General features: G+C 39.9%; 1 protein-coding gene across 37 annotated transcripts in view, besides 3 other annotated features; it reads right to left on the bottom strand.

Moving 5' to 3' along the window:
- Nucleotides 1–3,025, bottom strand: part of CCDC66 (coiled-coil domain containing 66) — a 64,682-nt gene extending 61,657 nt beyond the window's left edge. For 24 of the 37 annotated variants that reach the window (NR_148372.1, NR_148371.1, NR_148367.1 and 21 more), the window contains exons 1-3: nucleotides 2,928–3,025; nucleotides 1,271–1,335; nucleotides 587–612 (exon numbers count right to left, since the gene is read on the bottom strand). Coding sequence is in view for 13 of the 37 variants with exons in the window: in NM_001353147.1 (NP_001340076.1) it covers nucleotides 587–612; nucleotides 1,271–1,335; nucleotides 2,928–2,938 (102 nt within the window). In the remaining 24 variants the exon portion in view is untranslated. Of the gene's footprint in view, nucleotides 1–586; nucleotides 613–1,270; nucleotides 1,336–2,917 lie in introns of all 37 variants that reach the window. The other 13 variants (XM_047448017.1, XM_047448018.1, NM_001353160.1 and 10 more) reach the window with 5 other exon arrangements.
- Nucleotides 2,219–2,890: an enhancer, noted in NCBI's record as "H3K27ac hESC enhancer chr3:56591319-56591990 (GRCh37/hg19 assembly coordinates)". NCBI's record gives its function as "activates a minimal SCP1, AML or CMV promoter by ChIP-STARR-seq in naive H9 embryonic stem cells {active_cell/tissue: H9 hESC(naive)}" and the evidence as "EXISTENCE:reporter gene assay evidence [ECO:0000049][PMID:30033119]".
- Nucleotides 2,591–2,750: an enhancer, noted in NCBI's record as "active region_19979". NCBI's record gives its function as "activates an Ori minimal core promoter by ATAC-STARR-seq in GM12878 lymphoblastoid cells {active_cell/tissue: GM12878}" and the evidence as "EXISTENCE:reporter gene assay evidence [ECO:0000049][PMID:35858748]".
- Nucleotides 2,891–3,563: an enhancer, noted in NCBI's record as "H3K27ac hESC enhancer chr3:56590646-56591318 (GRCh37/hg19 assembly coordinates)". NCBI's record gives its function as "activates a minimal SCP1, AML or CMV promoter by ChIP-STARR-seq in naive H9 embryonic stem cells {active_cell/tissue: H9 hESC(naive)}" and the evidence as "EXISTENCE:reporter gene assay evidence [ECO:0000049][PMID:30033119]".

The raw sequence follows: 13,073 nt of genomic DNA, 5'->3' as shown, positions 1-13,073 counted from the left end.
AATAATTTAAAAGGAAAATTACCCTTAAGCTCAAGTGCAACCTTTTAAAGGAAAATGCTAAATGCATGCTACAATTTGTGAATTAAATTTCCCCTTTGGTGTGGGCAAATGGAATTTGAGTATGAAAAGAAAAAACATTTCTGTTTAAAGTCTGAATATCTATTTTTAAAGATCTCTGGAGTGCATTGTCCAGTACAATCCATTATCCATTAAATTCCATTAAAAATTAAAGGAAATTAGAAATTCAGTTGCTCAGTCATACTAGTTACATTTTAAGGGTTCAATAACTATACATGACTAGTGGCTTCCATATTCAATAATACTGATTTTATTAATGAACACTTCCATTAACACAGATGCTTTACTGAATAGCACTTATCTAGAGAAAGAGGTTCTATTGGGCTAAACCTAAAATGATTCAATTTCTGTGAAAGGACCAATCTGAAAGCAAGAAAATAATAACTCCTCACTATAATTCCAAACCCCTTAGAACACTTGACATTTCCCAGGAATTATTTTCTAACCACTATAAATAAAACTGCATTTTACATTTGAAAACAGGTCAGGTCAAAGTTATACGGCTTACCTTCACAGAAATTTTTGATTTATGTTCTACAAAAGAAAAAAGAAATTACTAAACTATCCACCAAAAGCATACTAAGGTGGTAATGCAAGAAAACTGTAATTAATATTGTTATAAGATTTTAAGCTAGCAACATTATCCTCGAAAGCATAAACTTTAGATCTTGACTGAGTATTTTTTTCTAATCCAGTTCAAGGATTTACTTCTATTTTATTTTTGTTTTTTATCTTTCCAAGGTAAAACTATAAACAGAAAAAAAAATGCGAAGGAGAAGGTACCAAAGTACACTGAGTTTAAAAACGAATACTAAAAGTGACTTTAGCATTTTACGGTGGTCTTACTATAAACTTTTCTCAAATGATACATTCTTTACATGCAAAGAACATAATTACATAAATTTTACTTGTATTATTCATCAGGCAATGAGGATATTTGCTATATGGATATAATGAACACGCAATATACTGGAACATTAAATGTTATGAGTCTGAATACTGACAGTAGTAAGCAGTGTTGTAATCTGATTTTATTTGGCTAGAAGGAAATCTGCAGAAGTTTGAGGAAACAGCTTTTTCTAAAATATCATTTAAATATCACTCTATTACAAGCAAAAAGTCTGTTGAACTAATATAAATTTTATGTATGAATTTAAAAGTTAACATTTCAGATTTCTGTAACACAACATACCATATGGAGACAATATTAGCTTGGTTTTTCCATCCAGTAATTCAGTTTCAAGCTTTAAACCATCTCTGTAATAAAAAAAGAAAGTTGTCTCTCATTTTTAACAAACCGCAACATTTTAAATAACCAGAAATGTTCATTTGAACCTGACAATAAATCCATTATTTTGAATTTATGCAGGAATCTTGTACACATCGAACCAGTGTTTTAATTAAAAACGTTTGCAATCCAAGATAAAACCCACAACTACAGGGGGAAAATTCTTGAAACTCTTCAATACTACAAGCATTGTTATCATTAACCTGAAATCTCATTTTGTTATTGGTAAACTATAAATTAAGTTATCATACCACCATTTTTTAATAATGCTGTTACCAAAACTCCTCACATAAGTTAAAGGAACAAGATATATTTAACCGCCATTCATTAGTTTCATAATGAACTCATGACTAAAACATTCTATGGAGTGCTGGAGCATCGATATGACTACTAACAATGCCATCAAGGTTAGTAACTGCTTGAGCAAAGAGTACCACTTTCAATATTTCAAATAATACATAGTGATATTTAGTATGGTGCTTTATACGTGCATATCAGAAGCAAAGGCATAAAGTAACAGTAGCCACTGCCAACAAAACTTGAACGTCTGTTAAGGTCCTAAAACTCCACTGAGAACAAAAATGGCAGCCCATACATACAGTCCATAATTCAGAGAGAGAAAATTAAATCCAGCAAGCCAGTCAAGGGAGAGAGAGGCTGGGAAAGGTCTGATTAGGAATGCGAAATTTGCGGTGTTGCTCAGGTAGGGGAAATCAAATTACCTCACCTTAACTATTAAAGGTAAAACACTGGAAAGAATAGGTTTTACGGCTTTCCTTATTGTAGGGTTATGAACAGTTCGTGTTTATGTTGGTGAAACGTCACCAAGAAAGAAAAGAGCTTCAATGGTAAAGTACCTTCAATGACGCACTGCACTGTAATCTCCTTAAGGGACACACTATCTTATTTATTTCCATATCCCCAGATTCTAAAACATAATAACATTTGCTGAACGATGTGTAGTTAGGTCTGAGTTTGGTGGCTTCTCATCTTCTCAAAATATCAAACTTGCGAGTGATGAAGACCATGCACCAGCCCTTTTTATTTATTCACCCCTACTTAAGGAGCGCCTACTAGGTGTTAGGCACTGGTACTACATCGATTTCTTGAGAAGCCTGGTTCCCCGCCTCGTGGGCCTAAAACGAATTTGGGCGTTTCAACATTCTGCAAGACTCCAAAAACAAGGTGGCGAAGAACCCGGGGCATGGGCCAGGAGTCCTCCCCAGGAGCCGCCACGCTTCCTCTAACTGTCTCGTCATTTCTCTCCTTTCCTCCTCACCTCTCTTCCCTCCTCATCCTGAGGTAAATAAGGGACCGAAAGGGGATCACTGGCAGTTTTAATGCTAGTCATTAAGTGAAAACGTAAGGTCTGTGGAGTCGCTAAGGGCCGACCCATCTGCCTCGATCTTCTACCCGAGAACTGGGCTCTGCCCCTCTCGGCGGCGCAGGTTGGGAACGTTCTCCAGTAAAGACTCCAAGGGACAACCCAGACACACATGCCTCCCTCTCCGCTGACGACCACCTTGCTTACCCCAGCTTACCCCAGCTTACCCCTGCTTACCCCAAGTTCATGGCCTGACCTCGCACTCTCTCCACAGAACGCTCAAGCCCCTTGTGTACGTCGGTTGCCGCCGCCGCTCAGCAAGCGCTACGCCAATTGGATATAGGGGTGCCGGCGAGCTGAGCAAGTGGACCAATCAGGGTGGGGCATGCTGGCGGGTGCGCTGAGCTGGGCCGGGGCTCCCGCGGGGACGGTTGCGTATGCCGTTTGTTCCCCTTTTGTGCCCCGTTTGTGCCGTTTGTTCCCCTACGCACAGCGGAATTTGGCCTGACCCGGCTTATGAGTCTAAAGCTTCGGTGGCGGAGACCTGCGCTTCTCGCAATTGTAGCCTTCCAAAGCGCGTACACAGACACACACACACACACACACACACACACACACACACACACACACACACACACACACACACACCTTTTTGGGGTCACCATTTGCAAGTAAGTTACAGACATTGTAACACTTAACCCTTTAACATTGCAGACATTGTAACACTTAACCCTTTAACATTGCAGCATGTATCTCCTAAGAATAGATGTTCTGCTACATAACCGCAGTACAATTATTATACCTAAGATCATTAATTTCATAATAATTCTCTTCCCGATTTAATTTCCCCCACTTGTCCTAAGAATATCTTATAGGCATTTTATTTAGAAAGCAAGAGCCAATCGCGCCACTGCATTCCAGCAGCTTGGGCGACAGAGTGAGACTCCGTCTCAAAAAAAAAAAAAAAAAATGCAAGAGCCGATCAAGGATCACACATTACATTTGGTTGTTAAGTATCTTTGCACACACTCTTTCCAGACAAAAACAATGAAAGGTATTAATTATTAAATGCCTGACAAACCTTTACTTTTTTATTTTTTATTGTTGTAATATGTGTGTTAAAATTTGCTATTTTTAGCCATTTTCAAGTGACAATTCCATGATACAATGTTGTGGAATACGCCAGTATATTTTTCCAAAAGCTTTTTAGTACCCCCAAATAAAAATTCTGTACCCATTAAGCAACAACTTCCCATTTTCCTCTCCCCTCAATCCTAAGAAACCTCTAATCTTATTTCTGTCTCTAGGAATTTGCCTATTATAGATACTTCATGTCATAAAAGTGGAATCATACAATATTTGTCCTTTTGTGTCTTCTCTCAAGTAACATAATGTATTCAAGGTGCATCCATGTTGTAGGATGTATCAGAGCTTCATATCTGTTTATGATTGAATAGTATTCCATTCTATGTATATATATACCACAATTCGTTTACTCATTCATCCATTAATAGACATTTGGGTTGTTTCCATCTTTTAGTTATTGTGAATAATGCTGTAGTGAACACTGATGTACAAGTATCTGTTTGAATCCCTATTTTCAATTTTCTTGGTATACACCTAAGAGTGGAATTACTGGGTCACATGGTAATTCTATGGTTAACTTTTCGAGAAACTGCCAAACTGTTTTCATAACAGTTGCAGCATCTTACATTTCTGCCAGCAATGTATATGAGGTTCTAATTTCTTCACCCCAACACTTGCTTTTTCTTTTTCTTTTCTTTCTTTTTTTTTTTTTTTTAGAGACAGGGTTTTGCTCTGTCACCCAGGCCGCCTACATTGGTACGAACATAACACTGTAACCTCGAACTCCTGGTCTTAAATGATCCTCCTGTCTCAGCCTCCCAAGTAGCTAGGGCTACAGGCATGCACCACTACGCCTGGTTAATTTTTAAAAAAATTTTTGTAGAGACAGAGTCTGTTTACGTTGCCCAGGCTGGTCTCAAACTCCTGGCCTCAAGTAGTCCTCCCACCTCAGACTCCCAAAGTGCTGGGATTATAGGCGTGAGCCTGTAGCCAGAATGATTTCTAAAATGTGAATCTGCTTAATTCACTCTGCTTCTTAAAATCTCTCAATATAGGAGAACGTCCTTAACTTGATAAGCAATATCTACAAAAAATCTCCTAGAGACCGGGTGTGGTGGCTTATGCCTGTAATTGCAGCACTTTGGAAGGCCAAGGCAGGAGGATTGCTTGAGTGTAGGAGTTCGAGACCAGCCTGGGCAACATGGTGAGACTCTATCTCTATTTTTTAAAAAAATCCTGTAGAGCCCAATATCACACTTAACAGTGAAAAAGTGCAACTTTTCCACTGAGATTGGGAACAAGAGCAAGGCAAGAATGTCTCTTCTTATCACTGCTTTTCAACATCACACTGGAAGTCTGAGCTAATCCTAAGACTTAGCCTTAGTCCTAGCTAAGACAAGAAAAAGAAATAAGTATACAGACTGGGAAGAAAGAAAGAAAACTTTGTTTGCAGATGACATGATTGTCTATGTAGAAAATCTGAAAGAAGCCACAAAAAATCCTCCTGGAATTAATAAGTGAGTATAGTGGCATTGCAGAATGCAAGGTTAATACACAAAAGCCAATTGCTTTCCTGTATGTCAGCAATGAACAAATAGAAGCTGAAAATAAAAACACGATACTGCCCAGGCGCGGTGGCTCACGCCTATAATCCCAGCACTTTGGGAGGCTGAGGCGGGCGGATCACGAGGTCAGGAGATCGAGACTGTCCTGGCTAACACGGTGAAACCCCGTCTCTACTAAAAATACAAAAAATTAGCTGCGTGTGGTTGCAGACGCCTGTAGTCCCAGCTACTCAGGAGGCTGAGGCGGGAGAATGGCCTGAACCCAGGAGGTGGAGCTTGCAGTGAGCCGAGATCGCACCACTGCACTCCAGCCTGGGCAACAGAGAGAGACTCCGTCACAAAAACAAACAAACAAACAAACAATACTATTCACATTAGCATCCCATCAAATCAAATGCTTAGGTATAGATCTAACAATATATGTATAAAATCTATATGAGGAAAATTACAAAACTCTGATGAAAGAAATCAAAGAACTAAATAAATGGAGAGATATTCTGTGTTTATAGATTGGAAGACTCAATATTGTCAAGGTGTCAGTTCTTCCCAACTTGATCTATAGATTCAACACTATGCCAATCAAAATCCCAGCAAGTTATTTTGTGGATATCAACAAACCGAATCTAAAGTTTATATGGAGAGACAAAAGACCCAGAACAGCGAAAACAATATTGAAGATGAACAAAGTCAGAAGACTGACACTACCCGACATCAAGACTTACTATAAAGCTACAGTAATTAAAACAGTGTAGTATTAGTGAAAGAATAAACAAATAGATAAATAATAAAACAGAGTGCCTAGAAATAGACCCACATAAATAGTCAACCGGTCTTTGACAAAGGAGTAAAGCCAAAACAAAGGAGAAAAGATTATCTTTCAACAAATGGTGCTGGAACAATTGGATATCCACATGCAAAAATATTAGTCTGACCCAAACCTTGCATTCTTCACAAAAATGAACTCAATATAGAACAGAGTCCTAAATGTAAAATGCAGAACTGTATAACTCCTAGAAGAAAACATAGGAGAAAATCTAGATGACTTTGGGTTTGATGATAACTTTTTTTTAACAAGCCCACAGCTAACATCATATGATGATAACTGTTTAGATGCAACACCAAAGGCATGATCCATCAAAGAAAGAATTGATAAGCTGGACTTCATTAAAATCAAAATTTTCCATTTTGTAAAAGACACCGATAAGAGAAAGAAAAGATAAGCCACATTCTAAGAGAGAATATTTACCAAAGACATATCAGATAAAGGACTGTTATTCAAAATATAAGAAAAGATCTTTAAACTCAACAATAAGAACATAAACAACCCAATTTTAAAAATGAGCCAAAGACCTTGATGAATGCCTCACCTAAAAAGATGCTGAATACAGATGGCAAATAACCATATGCAAGATGCTATATGTCATATGTCATCAGGAAATGCAAAATAAGACAACAATGAAATACTATTACACACCTATTAGAATGGTCAAACTCTAGATCACTGATAACACAAAGTGCTGGTGAGGATGCAATCTCATTCATTGTTGGTGAGAATGCAAAATGGTGTAGCCACTTGGAAGACATCTTGGTGATTTTCTTTTAGTTTTTTGTTTTCGTTGTTGAGACAGGGTCTCACTGTGTTGTCCAGGCTGGAGTGCAGTAGCGTGATTTTGGCCCACTGCAGTCTTGAACTGCTGGGCTCAAGAAATCCTCCCACCTCAGCCTCCTGAGTAGCTAGGACTACAGGCGTGTGCCACCATGCCTAGCTAATTTTTGTATTTTTTTGTGGAGATGGGCTTTTGCCATGTTGCCAAAGCTGATCTTGAACTCCTGAGCTCAAGGGATCCACCTGCCTCGGCCTTCCAAAGTGCTGGAATTATAGGCATGTGCCACTGTACCTGGCATTTGTGGTTTCTTACAGAACTAAACATATTCCTACCATGTGCGTGACCCAGCAATTGCATTATTTGGTATTTATCCAAAGGCGTTGAAAATGTATGTCCACAGGAAAACCTACACATGGATGTTTATAGCAGCTTTATTCATAATTGTCAAAACTTGAAAACAACCAGGATGTCCTTCAGTAGGTGAATGCATAAACTGTGGCACATCCTGACAATGAAATATTATTCAGAACTAAGAAAAAATGAGCTTGATACCAAGTCATGAAAAGGCATGGAGAAAATGTAAATTGTTATTACTAAGTGAAAGAACCAATTTGGAAAGGCTACAAACTGTATGAGTTCGATTATATGGCATTCTGGAAAAGGCAAAACTATGGAGACAGTAAAAAGATCAGTGGTTGCCAGGGATTGGAAGAAGGAGGGATAAATAGCCAGAGCACAGAGGATTTTCAGGGCAGTAAAACTACTCTGTATGATACTGTAATAGTGGATACATGTTGATATTGTGTCCCCACCCAAATCTCATCTTGAATTGTGACCCTCATAATCCCCATAACCCCCATGTGTGAAGGGAGAGACCAGGTGGAGGTAGTTGAATCATGGGGGCAGTTTCCCACATGCTGTTCTTGTGATAGTGAATGAGTTCTCACAAGATCTGATGGTTTTATGAGGAGCTCTTCCCCCTTTGCTCAGCCCTCCTCCTTCCTGTTGTCTTGTGAAGAGGGCACCTTGCTTCCCTGTCACCTCCCACTGTGATTGTAAGTTTCCTGAGGCCTCCCCAGCCATGCTGAACTATGAGTCAATTAAACCTCTTTCTTTGATAAATTACCCAGTGTTGGGCAGTTCTTTATAGCCGTATGAAAACGGACTAATAAACATGTCATTTTCATCCAAACCCGTAAAATGCACAAGAGCAAGAGCAAACTCTAATGGAAGCTATGAACTTTGAGCAAGAATGGTTTGTCCTGATAAATTCATCCATTGTAACAAATGTACTACTCTAGTCGGGGATGTTGACAAAGAGGTAGGTTGGGGAAGGGGCAGAAAGTATATGGGAAATCTCTGTATTTCCTGTTAATTTTGCAGCGAACCTAAAATCACTCTTATAAAACAGTCTATTAAAATAAAAAACTCCCAATAATTAAAAAACCCTATTGCTCCTGATACAAAGCACGAAGGGCTTAACAATCTCATGAGTCCCATCTTGACCTTTTAAATTTCTTTCTTTTTTTTTTGAGACGGAGTCTCGCTCTGTCGCCCAGGCTGGAGTGCAGTGGCGCGATCTCGGCTCACTGCAAGCTCTGCCTCCCGGGTTCACGCCATTCTCCTGCCTCAGCCTCCCCAGCAGCTGGGACTACAGGCGCCCGCCGCCATGCCCAGCTAATTTTTTTTTTTTGTATTTTTAGTAGAGACGGGGTTTCACCGTGTTAGCCAGGATGGTCTCGATCTCCCGATCTCGTGATCCGCCCGCCTCGGCCTCCCAAAGCGCTGGGATTACAGGCATGAGCCACCGTGCCCGGCCTCAACCTTTTAAATTTCACCTCTCACCACTGCCCTCTTAACACACTGAGCTTTCATTTCCTCAAATGTAGCCACACTTGTTCCTATCTTCCACCTTTGCATAGTCATCTGTTCCACATATTTTATTGAGTGCCTAATGTGTCCGCAGAATTGTTTTTAGCAAAAGGGATAAAGCTATAACCAAAATAGACAAAATCCCTGCCCTCCTGGAGTGATTTCTGTTTGCTGAAATGCTGTTCCTCAGGATGCCCCTCACCTGAGCAACTTGTTCTACAGGGTTGTTGCTGAGATGTCACATCTTCCTGGGAACCTCCCTTACTGTCTCCGTCTCTGGGTTAGACCCTTCTTCCACTCCAGGGTGTACTCTGCACTTCCCTCCACAGAGCATTTGTGACTGTCCCTGAATGCCCACTAGAGTATAATCTCTGAGAGCAGGGACATGCTGCCCTTGCTCTGTATTGCCCCCAAAGCCTAACACGTGGGAAGCTCTAAGTAAATATCTGTTGGAAAGAAGATACATAAAAATTGCCGTAAACCAGTAACTGCCTGCTAGAAAAGGAATCATGTAAAATGGGAACATGCTACTTCTAAACCTGTAATGTGGCAATAGAAGTTCATAATTTATATATTAACTTAGACATATCAAAGAAAAGAGAACACTATGGTTGGTATAAGACTTAGCAGCAATGAAGGAGAGGTTAGCTGGGCAGTCCTGACTCTTAAATTTGGGGAAATTCTTCTTGAGAGCAAAGGTATTGTAATAGAACTCTGCATGAACTCTCCAGGATAATTGTTGCTTTCAAGGAGACTTCTCTGGTCAGTCTTAATAAAACACACAGAAGTAAAAGGTGAACACATTTATCTATGAGGAAAATGAATTGTGCCACCAATTAATTGTGTTTATGACAGGTCAATGTACATGGAAGCACCTTGCAGCAAACAGAATAATGGTGTCCCCAAAAATTCTACATCCTAATCCCTGAAAACTGTGAATATGTAACCTTACATGGCAAAGGGGAATTAAGGTTGCAGATGGATTTAGGATTGCTAATCAACCCACCTTAAAATAGGGAGATTATCCTAGATAATTTGGGTGGGCCCAATGTAATTACAAGGATCGTTAAAAATGAAAGAGGGAAACAGAAGTTCAGAGAGAGAGGTATGACAATGCAAACAGGGTCAAAGAGATGCTACATTGTTGGCTTTGAAGATGGAGAAGGGGAGCCACAAGTTAAGGACTGTGGGTGGCCTCTAGGAATTGGAAAAAGCGGGGAAATGGATTCTCCTCTAGAGCCTCCAAAAGACATTCATCCCTGGCAACACCTTAATTTTAGCCCGGTGAGTCCCACATCAGACCTCTGACTTACAGAACCGTAAGATAATAAAGTTGTGTTGTTTTGAGCCACTAAATTTGTGGTAATTTGTTAAAGTAATAATACAACTAATGCATATACAGTCATGTGCCACATAACCACATTTCAGTCAACGACGACCCTCATATACGGTGGTGGTCAGAGCAATAGTGATACAAGATAGCCTAGGCGTGCAACAGGCTGTGTCATCTAAGTTTGTGTAAGTACACTCTATGATGTTCACACAATGACAAAATCACCTAAAAGGCATTTCTCAGAATGTATTCCCATCATTAAGGGACATATGACTGTACTTGTTCCATGAAGCACCCCTCCTTTCCAGTACAGTACCCAACAAGAGTTGAGACCGTAGCTCTAATTGAAATCTATAGAGATGAACAAATTATGGGATTTGCTTTTGAGTTTTGAATGGCTTGGAGTTCTCCAGCTTTCCTTGTCTCCCATTTCTTGCACCACCCACACACACATACCACCTCATGCACAGAAACCCGACTCAGAAAGATGCAGTCTGTCACCAATATGTCTAAGATTTCTGTTTAGCAATACCATCTGAGATGGCTTTCTCTGGGGTCCTTTAACCTAGACCTTGCAGGCTCCTCTGTGGCGCTATCTTCTGTTTTCTTTCTAGCCTGCCTGATATACATTTAAAGTAGTTTATTTTTTTTTTGAGACGGAGTTTCACTCTTGTCACCCAGACTGGAGGGCAATGGCATGATCTCTGTTTACTGCAACCTCTTGGGTTCAAGTGATTCTCCTGCCTCAGCCTCCTGAGTAGCTGGGATTACAGGCACCCACCACCACGCCTGGCTAATTTTTGTATTTTTAGTAGAGATGGGGTTTCACCGTGTTAGCCAGGATGGCCTCAAACTCCTGACCTCAGGTGATCCTCCCACCTTGGCCTCCCAAAGTGCTGGGATTACAGGCGTGAGCCACCGTGTCTGGACTTAAACTAGTTCATTCTTACATAAAAGTGTTGAAGGAGATGGGGAACTGGATTGCAGATGGTGTGGTGTCTCTGGCTCAATATTTTTCCTCCTGGAATTGTCTCTATTCAGGTTCATTATTAGAAGGGCAGTTACATGATAAGACCAAAAGAAAGAGGTTTAAGTTATAGTTAGCTAGAGTGGTCAGATACTGGGGAGAATTGCAGTAAGAGCATTTTCATCGTTTGTAGAGGGATATACTGCTGCATCTCATGACTGACTCCCCAGTTTTGTTTTCTAGCATCCATGGCCCCTGCTCTTCTCCCAGGCCCTACTTCTGACTGCTCAACCTCTCTCTTACCTCCCTTGAACTCTTATTTCTGTAGGGATTGTAAGGGTGGGTCTGAAACTCCCAGTTTCTACTTCTCTCCTCACCTATGCAGTCTCCTGTTGCAGCTGCCAGTTCTCGCATGGCTGTGTGGAATCACCTCGAATGCAGCAGAGGCAATGCTACATTGTACTGTCCTTTCCCAACATGACTCTTGTGGTTCCATTTCCCTTCATTCTGTCAATGGCACAGTGGCTTTTGTAGGCCCTAGAAATCCATCTTTATGTCCCGTATCCCCTGATGCTCCAGCTGTGACAGTCTACTTACTCTTCCCCAAATATACTTACTATCCTCTCTCATTTCTGTGTCTCTTCTTCAGCTTTCCCTTTATGTAGAATACTTTTCTCCCCACATGAACCTGTAATGTGACAATGGGGGCTTATAATTTACATATTACCATAGACATACCAAAGAAAGGGAACACCAATCACTTAGCGGCAACCAAGGAGAGATCATCTGGGCATCTCTGAATCTTAAATTTGGGAAAAAATCCTCCTGGGAATAACAGGACTGTTTTGGAATAGAGCTCTCTCCACTAATTTTCCAGGGTGAAGTTGCTAGCATAGAAACTTCTTCACTGGTCAACCTTAGTAAAGCACACAGAAGTAAAAGGTGAACACATTTACCTATTAGATGTGCATATTTGCCTGTGAAAGGCTTTCCCAGTGATAAACATGACAACCATGAGGGTAATTTCCTTGGGTGGGAGTGGTGACAATGAGACCAGGGAGACAAACCCAGCAAGTATCAATGGCATTGGTAATATTCATTTTTTAGTAAAGATGGTGGAAACATAAATTTTGTTATATTATTCTCTATTCATTTTTGTGTCCCTGAAATATGTCATGTTAAAACACACAAACACATACAATTTCTCCCCACACTGCTAATACAAGTTGAAATAAATAACTGCTAGTACTTATTTTCCCCTGCATTCATTTTCCAAGAAGCAAAGTAATACGGGTTTTCAATATAATTTTTTTGCATTTCTTAAACCCGGTTTATGTGGGTGATGTTAAACCTAATCTTGACACAGCAGATGGCAGTGTGGGTCCAGCTTTATATACAACAATACCATATGGACGTTTTAACAGATGAGATTTATTTTAGTTGAATAATCATGGTTTTAAATGGTTAACACAGAAAATATAAAATTCTAGAAAATCATGACTCTCTTCCTGAAGACTTAGAGACACATTTTCTGATTATATTAAGCTTATTAAAAAATACTTCCTTAATAAATCTAAAGCTAATTCTTAAGCAGAAATAGGAATCATCATCTCCAAAGAGATTTTCACAATATTTGAGTAATTGTATAAACTAGTACTTGAAGTTTGACTTTTGCAAATAAGCCCCCTTACATAAAATTACTTAAGAATCTTCACATTTTATTTATTTATTTCTTTTCTTTTCTTTTCTTTGTTTTTTTTTGAGATGGAGTCTCACTCTGTTGCCCAGGCTGGAGTGCAGTGATGTGGTCTTGGCTCACTGCAACCTTCGCCTCCTGGGTTCAAGCTATTCTCATGCCTCAGCCCCTGAGCAGCTGGGATTATGGGCATGCGTTACCATGTCTGGCTAATTTTTGTATTTTTAGTAGAGACGGGGTTTCACCATGTTGGCCAG

This window comes from Homo sapiens, chromosome 3 (genome assembly GCF_000001405.40).
Source record: "Homo sapiens chromosome 3, GRCh38.p14 Primary Assembly".
NCBI classification, from domain to species: domain Eukaryota; kingdom Metazoa; phylum Chordata; class Mammalia; order Primates; family Hominidae; genus Homo; species Homo sapiens.
This window is presented reverse-complemented; position numbering and strand designations above follow the sequence as displayed.